The sequence below is a fragment of the Homo sapiens genome, chromosome 1 (assembly GCF_000001405.40).
Source record: "Homo sapiens chromosome 1, GRCh38.p14 Primary Assembly".
Classification (NCBI taxonomy): Eukaryota; Metazoa; Chordata; class Mammalia; order Primates; family Hominidae; genus Homo; species Homo sapiens.
The window spans coordinates 116,139,403-116,155,647 of NC_000001.11; the positions used below are offsets into that span (position 1 = coordinate 116,139,403).

Genomic DNA, 16,245 nt, shown 5'->3' on the forward strand with positions numbered 1-16,245 from the left:
TTAAAACTCAGATTTTAAAAGGGAGCCTATGAGAGGACCGTCCATCCAGGCTCCCGGGGCATTCAGCTCCATTCTGTTTCCTGGGACAGATTGCACAGCTAAGAAAAGCCAGAGAATATTACTCCTTTATTCTGTTCTTTTTTTTTTTTAATTCTCCAAAAGACCGTTCAATCCTTCTTCACTCTTCCAGGCCCAAGACTAGGCGTGTAGAGGAATGGTTGGTTTTCAGCCACCGCAGTTGACCTGCCTGCGTCTGCATCCCAGTTCTGATGCCGAGGAGCTGCATGACCTTGGCAAGCTGTTTGGCCTTTCTGTGTCTCTAGTTCCTTCTCTCCAAAATGGGCATTGTGATGGCCAGAATTGTGTCCACCACAATTCATAAGTTCAAGCTCCAACCCCCAGCACCTCAGAATGTGACTGTATTTAAAGAGGTGATTAAGTTAATAATAAAGAGGTGATTAGCTGATTCAGTCTGACGGGTATCCTTAAAGGAGAGGAGATTAAGCACACAGAGAGATGCCAGGGATGTGCATGCGCAGAGGGCAGCCACCCACAGACCAAGGAGAAAGGCCTCAGGAGAAACCAGCCTGTCCACACCTGCTCTTGGACCACCAGCCTCCAGAACTGGGAGAAAATACATTTCTGTTATTTAAGTCACCTAGTCTGTGGTATTTGGTTATTTTCCTATGGCCCTAGGAAACTGTTACAGGCATCATGAAAGAATATATACCTCATAGTGTTAATGAGAGCAACGAATGGAATGATGGATGTAAAAGGCTCTTAGTTGAGTACCTGGCATGGGATAACTGCTGAACAAATGTTTTCATTTTAGATGCCTACCCCTCGTGCTATTTGCCCATCTCTACCATTCCTGATAACTATACCAGACCACAGATAAATTCTTTGTAAAGAAAATATAAACCATCACAGAGGAAACATGAGAAAATTTCACTGCAAATTCTGCAAGCCCATTCTCCCCTTCGTCCCTCTTGCTAAAATATAGAAGGTATCTCCCTGAAAGGCCAATTTCTCCACATGTGACAGCTCAGATGCCTCCCAGCTCTTCAGTCTTTCCATTTATTTCTTGTAGTTTCCTCCACATCCTCCCGCAATGGCCGCTTCACTCTCTTCTCCCCTTTACTGTCCAGCTTCCTGAGTTACTATACGTGTATCTCCACCTACTCGCCTCATTCACTCTTTTTGTTTTTTTAAATTGTGAAATATATTTATACATGTGAGAATCTAACCTATTTAAAGAAGAATAATAAAGCAGGCTGGGCGCGGTGGCTCACACTTGTAATCTCAGCACTTTGGGAGGCTGAGGCGGGGGGAGTCACGTGAGGCCAGGAGTGTGAGACCAGCCTGTCCAACATGGCAAAGCCCCGTCTCTACCAAAAATACAAAAAATTATCCAGGCGTGGTAGTGCACATCTGCAGTCCCAGCTACTCGGGGAGGCTGAGGTGGAAGAATAGCTTGAATCTGGGAAGCAGAGGTTGCAGTGAGCCGAGATTGTGCCACGGCACTCCAGCCTGGGCAACAGAGTGAGACTCTGCCTCAAAATAATAATAATAATAATAATAATAATAATAATAATAATAATAATACACCAATATACTGTACCTTGGTGAAAAATAGCACATTGTCAGTATACGGAATTCTCCTTGCTTCCCCTTCCTTCCAGCAGCCTCCTTCCTCCCAGACATAGGTAATCGTAGGTATCCCACATTTTATGTTAATCATTCTCATGTTTTTCTTTATAGTTCTACTTCCTACCATATTTCATTGAACTTAAGCTCCCGACATTGTAAGATGCATTATTATTTCACCTCTAAGAAAGAGACTCACAAAATGAATGGTTTGGTTACAAAATTTTGGTTACAAAATGAATCTCAATTTTGAAGTGTTTGAAATGTCAAAAAAAGAGACATGGCTTAGAATCAACAAAATATGATCTGCATGCATCCCAAATTGTGTTTTTAGTTTTGACTGTTTCATTTATCTAAAGGCTTTACATACATGAAATCATACTGTATAAAGTCGTCTGTGATTGTTTCTCATGGCCACAGAGAAACAATCTTTTGAGATTGTTTTTATGCTTTTGAGACTCCCATGTGTGTCTTCATGTAGCAGTCGTTTATTCCTTTTCACCAATAAATAATATTCCACTGTGGGAATCTGCTGCTACACTTTATATATTCTTGTTACTGTAATTGGACATTTGCATTGTTTCCAGTTTTTGTGATTTGAATGATGTTTTTATGCTCATTCTTATACATCTTCAGATGCACACAAGTCTTTTAAGGGTGTACACATAAGAATAAAATGTAGGTTCACAGAATACATGAATGTTTAAATTTACTAAATATTGTCAAAATATTTCCAAAGTGATTACGCCAATCTAAATTCTCCATTTTAATATGGGTGGATTTTCAGCAACTTTCTCCATTATAATGGAGCACATTTTGCATCTTGTTTAAGGAATCCTTCTCTCTTTTCAGGTCATGGGAGTGCTCCTATATTCTCTAGAATTTTATAGCTATGGCTTTTAGGAGAAGTAGCTGTTCCTTATTTTTCCTATTCTATTCCAATAATATTGGGGTAATCTCTTTGCTGGAAAGTTTGGTTTAACTCATGTAAAGAACTGGCTGGACCTTCAGTTTTATTGCCAGGAGATATTTTACTATTAATCTTTTTTTTTTTGTGGTAGGGGGGCGGAGGAGGGTACGGAATCTCGCTCTGTCGCCTAGGCTGGAGTGCAGTGGCGTGGTCTTGGCTCGCTGCAATCTCCGCCTCCCAGGTTCAAGCGATTCTCCTGCCTCAGCCTCCTGAGTAGCTGGGATTACAGGTGCACGCCACCACGCCCAGCTAGTTTTTATATTTTTAGTGAGATGGGGTTTCACCATGTTGGTCAGGCTGGTCTCAAACTCCTGACCTTGTGATTCACCCACCTGTAATTACCCACTCACGCCTGTAATCCCAACACTTTGGGAGGCTGAGGTGGGAAGATCACTTGAGCTCAGGAGTTGGAGACCAGCCTAGGCAACGTAGTGTGACCTCATCTCTATATTAATAAAATAAATAAATAAAATTTAAAAAGAGAAATTCCTACCCTTTCTTCTTTTCTAAGTATAGAAATTTTTAAACGCCATTTTAGTGCAATTCCACAGGTTTTTTTTATAATTTATTTTTATTGTCTTCAAGTTCTATTTATTTTCTAGTTTCTACACTAATTTTAAGAAAATTGTTTCCAAACCTGTTGGGCTTCCTAGTTATGTTTTTGTTATTGATTTATCACTCAATTGCACTGTAATAACAACAAGTGATCTGAATGACCCCAATCCCTTGACATTAATTGAGGCCAGCTTTTTAGCTTAGCACTTCTTCATTGTTCTATGTACATACAAAGAAGATACACAAGTTTAGATGTAATGTCTAATAAATGTCAGTTATATCCTACAGTGCTCAAATTTTCTATATTTTATAGATTTATTGGGGGGGGCTGTATTTCCTAACATTTACTGAGAGAGTTGTTTTAAAATCTCTCATTATGATAATGGACTTTTCAATTTTTGTGTATGGTTTTGTCAAAATTGTGTTTAATGTACATTGAAATTATATTATTAGGGCTGTATGGTTTAGAATTTTTATATCTTCCCAATTAATTGAAGCTTTTTCACTATAAAGTGACCTTTTTAAACTCTTGTAAACATTTTGCGTAAATATTGATTTTTGTCAGTTATTAATACAATAATATCACTTTATTTTGGCTAGTAGTTGCCTGGTATATATTTTTCCATCCTTTAACTTTCTATCTGTTTGTATACTTTATGTTGTTGATAACTGCATTCTTTATAAATGGCTGATTTTTTAAAAATCCCATCTGATAGTTGAGGTCTTTTGACTCTATGTTTAGTCCATTTATATTTATTCGAATTGAAAATACATATGGATTCATTTCTATTCTTTTATTATTTACTTTCTATTTGACCTATTTTATAAATCCTCTGCCCCCCACTTTTCATCTTTTTAAAATTAAGAGGTTTGTTTCTTCTTTTTAAATTTCTTTTTTTTCTTATTGGCTTGGAAAGTCCATACCCTATCTCTGTCCTTTTAATGGTTACCAAGACTATTTACACATACCGACTAAATTGTGTAGATTAAAATCTAAAGCTAATCAATACCTTCATTTTCCTTTCTGACAAGGACTCAAAGGCTTTGGCTGCTATCAATCTCCCTACCACATTTTCTGCTGTTGTCATCCTGGATTTTGGTTCTAGACTATTTACCACACCCCTACACACATACACATAAATAAAATAGATATTTTTATTACATTATTTTATATTTCTTATTTTATGCACATATTAGCCACTATGTTAACTCACTACTCTTTCTTGCATCTCGGATTTTCTATTAGGGATCATTTTCCTTCTGCCTGGAGTAGATGCTCTACCGTTTTCTATAGTAACAGTATACAAAAGTAAACAGTTTTTATTTGTTTGAAACTGTTCTTATTCACCTGTATTCTTGAAAGGTAATTTCAATTTTATGTTGAAAAACAATTTTTTCAGCATATTAAAAATTCTTTCACTGTCTTCTGGCTTCTTTTGTTGCTTTTTACAAGTCAGTCATTAGACTATTTGTTGTTTCTTTGTAGAGTACCTGCGTTATTCTATCTGGGCTCTTTTAATACTCTTTCTCTCTGTCTCTGTACCTCTTTCTCTTTTTTTTGGATTTATTAGGCCTCCTGAATCTGGGGAACTATTTCCAGTAATTCTGGGGAATTATCAGCCCTTAACTTTAAATATTGTCTCTTCCTCATTCTCTCAGTATTCCATTGTAGAAGGAAACTCAATTTACATGTATAACACATTCTATCATTCTACCCTCTCTTTTACCTTCTCTTTTTAGAATTGGCATCTTTTTTTTATCTCTCAGACCTGCATTCTCAGTAATTTCTTTGGATATAGCTTCCAATTGACTAATTCTCTCTTCAGCTGCCTCTAATCTATTGTTTAATCTGTCCACTGAATGTTAAATTTCTAACGTTTCAGTTCTCATTTTTAGGAAGTCTGTTTGGTTATTTCTTAAACCTGCCTATTTGTTCTTTAAGGTCTCATGTTCCTGCTTATGTTTGTACATAAACATAATAGATGTTTATGTTTTGTTTAAACATAATACAAAACATATTGTTTTACATATATCTTTTACATATATGTTTTACATATATCTTTTACATATATCTAAACAAAAGATATAAAACATATATCTTCTGTTTAAACATAATAGATACAATTGTTCTACATTCCATATCTGAAAATTCTGTTTATTTTCCTTAAAACTTTATCAGTAGGAATTTGTTTGACATTTGATTTGAAGTTGAGGTATCTAAAAGGATTTGCTTTTAATTCTGCCAGTTACCCAAGAGCATACCAACTCGAGACCATTTAAATTAAACTTGATGTTTGTGGTTTTTCAGGCCAATAGGTAAATGAATCCAGATAGAAAACATTTGAGGCTATCTTGTGGTTAAAAATCCTTAGGGGATTTTTTTCCCCCTCCTTCCAGTGCTAAGGTCAAGGTAAGCAAGATGACTTCTTTATAGCAGGTTTATTCCTCATTAACCCTTATTCTGAGAGCATGGGCATTTGAGCCAAATTCAGGCAGGGGAATCTTAGTCGATTCCCTACCCTTTGCAGGCCATAGGCATTCTCATCTGTTCCCTAGACTAGTACGGCTGACCATGAAAAGTTCCAGATTTCTAGGATCAGAAAACCTGTCAGAGCAAAACCTAGTTTTGCTCTCTCCTCATCTAGGGTTCTTAGTTTTATTTCATTTTTGGAGTCTGTGGATTTCTTTCCTTCTGATATTTTTCCTTCTACCTCAGAGACATATTTGTAAAGGTTTTGGAGTCCATATATTTAATAGCATTTTAGCTCTTTCAGTTCGGAGGTCATCCAGAGTGCCTAATCTGCTATACTGCTGGGTACACAGGAAATTTCATCCAAACAAAACCTCAAGCCAGCTAGAAACTTCATTCAAACATAAACTCTTCCCACCTTATATGCAAAATCAAGTGCTACTTCTTGCTTCTCATTTTATACAATTTCTCAGAAGCATTCAGCAGTCAACCCCTCCTCCTTGCACCCCTGTTTTCTCAGTCCCTGTGTGTCTGGAATTGGTGGGTTCTTGGTCTCACTGACTTCAAGAATGAAGCTGCGGACCCTCACGGTGAGTGTTACAGCTCTTAAGGTGGTGCCTCTGCAGTTTGTTCCTTCTGATGTTCAGATGTGTTTGGAGTTTCTTCCTTCTGGTGGGTTCGTGGTCTCGCTGGCTCAGGAGTGAAGCTGCAGACCTTCACAGTGAGTGTTACAGCTCTTAAGGCGGCGCGTCTGGAGTTGTTTGTTCCTCCCGGTGGGCTTGTGGTCTCGCTGGCTTCAGGAGTGAAGCTGTAGACCTTCGCGGTGAGTGTTACAGCTCATAAAAGCAGTGTGGACCCAAAGAGTGAGCAGTAGCAAGATTTATTGCAAAGAGCGAAAGAACAAAGCTTTCACAGTGTGGAAGGGGACCCTGGGGGGTTGCCACTGCTGGCTCAGGCAGCCTGCTTTTATTCTCTTATCTAGCCCCACCCACATCCTGCTGATTGGTAGAGCCAAGTGGTCTGTTTTGACAAGGTGCTGATTGGTGCGTTTACAATCCCTGAGCTAGATACAAAGGTGCTCCACGTCCCCATCAGATTATTTAGATACAGAGTATGGACACAAAGGTCCTCCAAGGCCCCACCAAAGCAGCTAGATACAGAGTGTTGATTGGTGCACTCACAAACCTTGAGCTAAACACAGGGTGCTGATTGGTGTGTTTACAAACCTTGAGCTAGATACAGAGTGCCAATTGGTGTATTTACAATCCCTGAGCTAGACATAAAGGTTCTCCAAGGCCCCACCAGAGCAGCTAGATACAGAGTGTCGATTGGTGAACTCACAAACCCTGAGCTAGACACAGGGTGCTGATTGGTGTGTTTACAATCCCTGAACTAGACATAAAGACTGTCCACGTCCCCACCAGACTCAGGAGCCCAGCTGGCTTCACCCAGTGGATCCCGCACTGGGGCTGCAGGTGGAGCAGTCTGCCAGTCCTGCGCCATGCGCTTGCACTTCTTAGCCCTTGGGCGGTCGATGGGACTAGGCGCCATGGAGCAGGGGGCGGCACTCGTCGGGGAGGCTCCCGGCCGCACAGGAACCCATGGAGGGGGTGGGAGGCTCAGGCATGGCGGGCTGCAGGTCCTGAGCCCTGCCCCGCGGTAAGGCAGCTAAGGCCCGGTGAGAAATCGAGCACAGCGCCAGTGGGCCGGCACTGCTGGGGGACCCAGTACACCCTCCGCAGCCACTGGCCCGGGTGCTAAGCCTCTCACTGCTGGGGGCCGGCAGGGCCAGCTGGCTGCTCCGAGTGCGGAGCCCGCCAAGCCCACGCCCACCCGGAACTCCAGCTGGCCCGCAAGTGCAGCACGCAGCCCCGGTTCCCGCTCACGCCTCTCCCTCCACACCTCCCTGCAAGCTGAGGGAGCCGGCTCTGGCCTTGGCCAGCCCAGAAAGGGGCTCCCACCGTGCAGCAGTGGGCTGAAGGGCTCCTCAAGTGCCGCCAAAGTGGGAGCCCAGGCAGAGGAGGTGCCGAGAGCAAGTGAGGGCTCTGAGGACTGCCAGCACGCTGTCACCTCTCACCTGTGACACCACTCCCTGCTTCTTCAGCTCCTTCTGAGTCTCTTTGGATTCCTTCTCTGCCCTCCCCTGAATCTTATCATCCTCCCCTTAAGGGCTTGGTCCTGGGCTCTCTTCTTTTCAGACTCTACTCACTCAGCCTAGCAATTTTAGCCACTCCTGTGGTTTCCAGTACTATCCACATTCCAAATATGCTCACATGTAGAGCTCCAGTCCGGCCTTCCTGTGCACTGCAGGCGGTTCCTATGAAATGCCACCACCTGATGCTTCACAAGCAGTTCCAACAAAACAAGGGTCAACCTGACCCCCAAGGGTGAGCACCCCTCACTTTGCTCGGACAGAATCATGTAGTTAAGAAAATTCCTCAAGCTGATACTCTACAGGCTGTCAGTAGCTTTAAAGGCAACATTTCTATCTTTTCTATCCCTAATTGTACAAAGGAAGCTCTTTTATTAGAATACCTAAGTACAACCTTCTCCACTGCCCACCATCTCCAAAGAGTGAAGACAGAAAGGAGGGAAATAGACTGGCTAAATGTGGAGTGGGAATAAAATGAAAGGAAAACTAAAAACCATTTCTTAATGTCTTTTTTACATAAAACATAAAATATGATGGTAAACATAGCCTAAAGAGAATTTTTTTCACCCACTGCAGACCTCCTTAAAGAAATTTTTTTAAAAGGTCAAATGTAACAAGTGGGTCTATGATATTTTTGTAACCTGAAAAAGGCCAGGGACATCACTGAGAGTCTATGTGAGGAGGTGGAGAGAATGTGTAGACTCTGTGATGTGCCACTCAGGTCCCTCCGGATGGAATGAAAGGCTTATTGCCCAGTGTGATCCCAGTGTCATTCTTCTTGGAGGATGACCTCACTGAAGAAAACTCTCTCAGCCAAAATTACTTCCCTTCTAGGGGCAGCCAGACACAAAGACTGATTAACGTGGGTGTGTAAAGGCCCAGGCCCCTCACCCCAACTCAGGACAACTCTGAAGGCCTGTTCTTAGCTGTAGAGCTTCTTCAGGATTGGTTGAGGCCTGTGTTGGGCTTGCATCACAGCTCAGCTATTTCCTCAGCTCAACTCTGCTTCCTTTCCCTGCCTTCACAGGTGTTGCTGTTGAGGGCGCTCCCTACTAAACATTCTGCTACGCATCTTTATCACCAAGCTGCCTTCCAGGGATTTCAATTTATGGCACCGTGGACAGACAGTCTACAGGCATCCCTTTAAAATCCAGCTCTGCCCTTTAGAGTGTGGCGATCTTGGGCAAGTCTCTTCATTTCTCGAAATGCTTTTCCTCATCTGGATATCCTGCAGGATTGCAAATGCTGGTTGCCCCATCTAGAGTCAAACGACCCAGGATTGGAATTCCAGCTCTGCCACTTCCTAGCCAATAACTCACTAAATTTGGCAAGACCTCAACATACTTGTCTGTAGAACAGGTAGAGATTATGTCTTTTATCTCATTGAATTTCCAGTGTGTAGCACATAACAGACAGCCAAAAACCCTTCAGCAGATAAACAGATGAAACTTCCAGCCAGCTGCACACCAAGGGCCAACAATTTTGTTTTAAGCATTTGCTGAAACAAATATCCCCAACTGCTTTAGAGCTTAATGCATCTTGACATGGCGTCTGATATCCCAGGGATTCTTTTGCCCCCACGTATCATTTGGAATTTGGGTCTTCCTTCAGTTTTTCAGGTCATGTTGCTCATCTGCTCGCAATCCTCCAGTCACTTCCTGCCTCACTCATACTACAGTCCCAAGGCCCGGGATGACCTGGAGCCCCAAACTCTCCAAACCCATCTTCTCCTTTCCCGGTTTCTCACACACATCCCTAAAAACACAGGCTTTCTCACTCTTCTCAGAATATCCCAAACATGGCCCTACCTCAAGACTTTTGTGCTTGCTGCTCCCTCCCTCTGGAGACCTTCCCTAAGTTTCCCACGTAAAATAGTATCCCTGGCTCCATCCCCACCCCACCTCAGTCTTGATAAGCTCTACTCATCGCCTGCTTTATTCTTCTCCATAGCACTCAGCACCACCTGGACTTCCAGCTCTCCAGCTACCATCTGTCTCCCACCACAGTGAAGGCTCCACGAGAAGGGGCTTTATCTGCATTTTCAGGGTTGTATCTTTAGAGCTGAGGACACAGCCTGGCACATTAGTAAGTACACAATTAATATGTGTTGAATAAAAATGTTTGCAATACTTCTTCAAAGCTATCATTTTAGATCTCCAAGTTCTTGGACTTTTCATTTATTAGTTATTTAAGGCAATAGAATCACAGAATTTTCTATCTTGAAGATACAGTAAAAGTGTTTAAAATTAAAAAAAAAATGTAGAGTAGATATGATGAGGTCCATACAGACTGAATGACTATCTTGGGCTTTAGAGAGTTAGTGATGACTACCAGGCCAGCTCTCTTTCCACTAAGCCACAAACTGAGGTAGTTTGTAATTGAAAGTCTAAAATAGTTTTCCTTTCAGATGCCCTTGAATCTTCTAAAATGCAAACCTAGGAAGTGTTGGAAATGAAGTTTAACTCAAATTGTTGCCAGTCACACATTTTGGGTCGTCCTTCCCTGCCTGTGTCCTCTGCCCTGACTGGCTCGCCTCGCCCTCCTCCCATGCTCTCTCCCTCATGGTTGTCAGGACATCGGCCTCTGTGGGACCCCTCATGGGACACACAGGCTTGTTTCATCTCTTCTTCTCACCCCCAAAGAGAATTAAAACAGTCCCATCATTTCTATTCTCTGAATTCAGAATATATTGGTAGATTTGAAAGAACACAGGAAATTAGAAAAAAAAATAGCTCTAATCACCACAGAAGAGATGCTGGTTATCAACTGGGCCAACCCCTTCATTTTACAGATGCGAAGGCAGAGGTCCAAAGAGAGGAGGGAAAATGATTTGCTCAAAGCAAATGCATTATGTCCCAGGCTGAACTCCTGATTTTCCCTCTCAAAGCTCCCATCGCCTCAGTAAACAGTGTCACTTCAGCCACATGCTTCAGCCAGAGTCCCAAGAGTTAGCCTTGAGGCCACCACCCACCATATTCAACCCACCAGCACATCCCTTGGCTCTCCTTTCTCCATGTAGTCCAGGTAGGCCTCATACCCTGCAGGTCAGCCCACCCCAGGCCAGGTCATGCCTCTCTCTTCCAGACTGCTGCAGACCTACTCTTGCCCCCCGACCTCACACCAGTCCTCCCCACACAAGAGCAAGGGGGGCAACCTGCAAACTCAATCATGCTTATTTTCCCTGCTCTCATCCTCCCAATAGCTTCTCATCTCTTAGGAAAAAAAAAGGGAAACTCCCCACCAAGGCCCACAAGGATTATGTGATCTGACTTGGGCCATTCTCTCTTTCCTCGCCAACTACCACGCTCCTTCACACTGTTCCAACCATACCACACTGGCTTCCTTGCTTTGCTTCAGACACCCAAGCTCCATCCTGCCCAGGGCCTCAGTACCTGTTTCCCCCTTTGCTCAGAAATCCCATGCTCCATGCTGACATGTCCCAACCCTCCCCGAACAGCCTAACACAGCTAGCCCCCAGCACTCTTGCCCTGCACCATACTTCACTCTCCCCATAGTGGTTTGCTGGTTCTCCTATTAGAATAAATATAAACTCTATGCCGGGAGAGGGCTTGTCTTATTCACTGTTGTATTATATCTCCGGCACTTGGAACAATGCTCAGTGGGTAAGAGCTCAATGAATAGTTGTTAAATAGATAATTGCATGAAGGAATGGATGAATACATGATTTTGCTCCATAATATGTATCTGCTTTGTGGCAGGGCTTGGATTTGAACCCGGGTCTTCTAATTCTCAGGCCAGGCTCTTTCCTCTACAAAGTAACATTTTGAGAGTCTGAAGAATCCCACATCTTTAGTTTTAGAGAAAGAAAAATTGCCTCTGGCTCCAGAAGCCTGTTTTCCCAGAAGGGCCTGGCTGTCCTCACTATGCAGAACACAGCTTGATGCAGCAGAGCTTGAGAATGCACACTCATGCTGCAGAGGGGCCAGCCTGGCAGCTCATCACAGCAGCCACTGACAACTGTGGGCACTGGTGGATACTTTGTAGCAGGTGTTTGCTGGACATGCCTAGCTTAACTGGGTTCCAACGTGCAACATGTAGACTGAACAACACACACACACACACACACACACACACACACACACACACACACACACACACTGCATTTAAACAAAGCACATCAGAAAAGAGTTCAGGCTTTCACCCTCCCTTCCTGCCAAGCACGGAGACAAACAGTACTGGTCTTGGTTCTCTTTGTCTCTGAGTCTAGACCATTCATTTCCTCTCATTCAACCAGCTTTATTTTTGGCGATGTAACTTTCTTTCGTGAGCATATATATTATGTTCTCAGACTTTGTAACCTATGAATCTCCTGTGAGGACCGACCTACGAATGCTCAGAATACAAAGGCCGGAGTGAGCAGTGCTCTCTGTGAGAGAGAATGTTACGGCAAATGAAAAAACCACCTTCACCACCTAAGCAGGATTCTTGCTTCTAATGCAAAATGTAACCTCCCTCTATAGGATGGATAGAGGGATATTAGGTTGAGCACTCAACACACTGGGGTGCTTACCACAGAGTACCCCAAAGTGTGGTTTAGGTCTGAGGGACCGGGTGAGCAAGGAAGGCTGCACCGGTGTAGGGACAGGCACAGTCTGGGTCCTTTGGTGGCCGGGGGTACAAAGGAAGCAGAGCCTGGGCTCCCATCCTCTCCTGCTGTCACAGCCCCTCCATGGAGGCCCTGGCCCTTCTCTCCTCCTCTCTCCTGCCTCTTTCCAGGATGTTCTTTGCCCCACAGTGAGATGTGAGGGGCATCAAGAAGGCTCCCTGCCATTGACTCTCTCTGTCCAGGGACCGCCATATGTGACTTGTGCTGTCTGTGACCAGGACGCGGGCTCTTGAAGGAGCAGCGAGGAGCAAGAGAGAGGGGAGCGGACGCCCCGACTCGCGCAGGGCTGAGGCTGGAGGGGAAGACTCACAGGGACTACGGTCTACGGGGAGGCCGCCTTGCGCGCCGCGGCTCGGAAGCGGCAGGGGGCGCCCGCGGCTCCTCGCGGCCCCGAGCCGTGAAGGGCTGGGGAAATTCCTCCCGCTGAAGGCAGAGAGCAGACTGGGACACTGCGGTTCCCGAGAGCCGCAGCCCCGCCGCCTCCGCCCACGCTGGCCCTCGGGAGGCGGAAGACTAGCTGACGGCGGCCCCCACACGCGCTCTGCAGCCTGGGGGTAACCCTCAGCCCACCCAGTGCCCAGCGAGGGGGCTCTGATCCACAGGCTCCGCCCAGCTCCCTGGGTCCTCTTTTCAGTGGGCCTCTTTTATTGCCTAGCACTGGGGATCGGGGTGGGGGGTGGACAGTTACCCCAGTATAGATACTGGCTCATCCGGACATATCTGTGCTGCTGCAGGGCACTCAGCCTCCTTCCCTGCAAGATTAGAGGGGCTGTGGAAGACAGAAGAAAGATGCTGTGCTCTTATGGACTCCTTTTCCTTAGACTAATGCCCACGGGGAAAGGAAAGGAAAGGGAAGGGAAGGGAGGGGAGGGAGTTAAGCGCTCCATCACCCCCAGGCCAGGCGTCATGGTAGGAAGGTCATAAAGAGGGTGGGTGGGTCAGAATGCTCCAGGAAAGGAAAGGATGGGACACCAAGATTTGCAGATACTGCCTATGTGCCTGGCACATATTTTAGGGGCTTTGTGCTTTATCTCATTTAATCCCCTCGGCACTCCTTTGGAGTAGGTAGGCAGCATAAACCCATTTTGCCAATGAACACTTGGAGGCTCACAGAGAAAAAAGAACTTGCCCAAGGTCATGGGCTGGAGTGGACAGAGCCATATTCTTTATGCGTTTGTCATAATGAGTTCCTTACAGTGCAGGTGACAGGAGAGACATGAAGGCACAGCCTACCAGGACCAGAAGTCCAGGAGGAAGACTCAGTCCTTCTGCTGGGCCCTGCAACCCTATGAGCCTCGCAGGAACCAAGAGAGAGGGAGTTGAGCAGAGAGGGACCCAGAGGCACCCTCTGTGGGTGCTGTTCCCTGACCTTGACATAGAGGACATTCCTCAACATGGATGTGGGTCAAGGTCCTTCCCTGATGGTGGAATGGGTGGAGCTCGTAGTGTGACAGATGGTAGAGAAAGGTGTTCTTACAATTGCCCCTGGGCTAACATTTTCCAGTTGTACCTTTGAACGCTCTAAAAAATCCTAAAAATCACTTTCACAAAAGTTAATCATTCACTCTGCAGGCCAGATGACCTTTGCTATGTAGTTGGGGTTTTGTTTGCTTTTTTTTTTTAAAGTCTTGTAGTTTGTAATTGGACACATATCCTTTAGGTGAAGAAGAAAATAATTTAGGGTCTAGTAAAAGGCTTGGTTTTCTTCTTGCCCTCCATCTCCCAGGAGTTTAGAAACATTTTCTCAGTGAGAGGCTATAAATTGAAGACTGAAAACAAATTAATCTTCCAAAGCTGTGGCCTTCATGGAGTACTATATACAGGAGACCCCAGGAGACAAAAACATACCAAAACCAAAAAATCAATAAAATCCAAGCCATCACCCACCCTGCACCTGATTCCTTAGGCCCCTGCTGTCATCTGGGTGGCAGCTAAGTTTACCAACAGAGAGGATTCTGGAAATTTCATTGGTACAGTACTCTAACCAGCTTTGCCCTTTGAGAAATGGACTTTGGAAATTGCATTGGTACAGTACTCTAACCAGCTTTGCCCTTTGAGAGATGGATTCTGGAAATTTCATTGGTACAGTACTGTAACCAGCTTTGCCCTTTGAGAGATGGATTTTGGAAATTTCATTGGTACAGTACTCTAAACAGCTTTGCTCTTAGAGAGATGCAAGTGTGGAGCTTTTCTATTTTAATATTTCAATCACCTAAAAGTTAATTGACCTCCTATAATAATTTGGGAGGTCAAATTGGCTATGTAAACTGGACAAGCCACCCAACTTCTTTAGGCCTCAGATTCCCCTTCTGTGCAGAGGCTGGGGAGTAAGCTCCAAGTTCTCTTCAAAGGCTAATGCTCTGCAGCCTGTAATCCTGCAGGTTGCCTTAACAGGCTCCCCAGCTCTGTTCCATTAACTATTTTTGGCTCAGTGATTAGAAGGCCTTGTTGGGCCACACCCTTACCTCTGACATTCTGACAACTGGCTGGACATTTTCACTAGGTATCCCACTGGGCACTCAAACTCAAGATGCACAAACCAAACACATCACCTCTCCTTTCTTCTCCTCCTCTCAGCCTAACTCTGACTTCCCTTTCTCTCCTTCAGGCATCTGAGCTGGGAACATCAATATCGTCTTTAATGTCTCGCTATCCAACAGCTTCCACATTCAGTGAGTTCCCGAGACCTGAATATCTGGCTGCGAAGAGCCCTCCTCTTCATAGTCCCACAGCTTCTGTCCAGCTCAGGCCCTTGACCCCCTCACATGGGCTCTTGCCACCACATCCAGCATGCCCAACAACCTCCCCTCCTTTTTCCTTTCTCTCCCCACTCTGACACATACAAAGTGTCACTACCAGATCATCGCACTCACCCACAGCTCCGGCAAGCCTCTCCCCTGCTACAGAAACTTGAATGGTTTTCTTTTGCCAGCTGAGCAAACAATTGCCATTCGGGACCTCCATGATATAGCCTTAACCTAACTTCCCTCCTGCACCCACTCCTTACACTTCAGCCAAACTCAGTGTCCTTCACACACAGGCCAGCTTTTCTCGTCTGTCTCCATACTCTTCACATTCTCTCTGGAACATGCACAGCTCCCATACCTGCCTATGAAAACTCTACTTCTTCATTAAGGCCGAGTTCAAATGATACTTTTACCTTGAAATTTCCCAGGAGATCCCACTTAAGATCAATTTCTCATTTATTTTTTCAGCCAACAAATATTTATTGAGCACCAACTATGTGCCAGGTTCTGTTCCAGGCCCTGAGAATTCAATGGCGAATAGGAAGGATGCATTCCTACTCACAGGGAGCTTGCTGTTGGTGGGTGACAGAACAAAAGGAAGCAAACAAACAAAGGGTAGATCCTAGTAAGGGCGATGGAGGCGCTCTTGGAGTGGTTGACCTTTATTACAGTCTACTTGTAGTATGCCTTTTTGCAATTAAATGCTACCTTGAACACCCTCTGAGGGAAGAATCTGAGTCTCATTTATCATTGTGACTTCCACAGTGCCTGACATCACCTCATCCGTGTAATACCCCCTCAGAGTGCATTTGTGGAAGGAAGGGAAGAAGAAAGGAAAGAAGGAAGGGATGGAGGGAGGGAAGCAAGAAAGAAAGAGAAGGATTTGAAAAACATTTAAACAAATACTCCAGGTCAGGAGTGGAGCACCTATTAATATCTTACTAATTAAAACACAAACGATATTCTCATTTTGCATTTGTCAAAGGTTGTCAACTTTGCAATCCCTAGAGGTGCCTAGAGGTGTTTTTCTGTGTAAGAGCCTCACTCGAGATAGGAGAGGCAACATGGGGCAGGGGA

At 44.6% G+C, this 16,245-nt stretch overlaps 1 annotated feature.

The window, feature by feature from the left end:
* Positions 12,685-13,104: a silencer, noted in NCBI's record as "silent region_1227". NCBI's record gives its function as "represses an Ori minimal core promoter by ATAC-STARR-seq in GM12878 lymphoblastoid cells {active_cell/tissue: GM12878}" and the evidence as "EXISTENCE:reporter gene assay evidence [ECO:0000049][PMID:35858748]".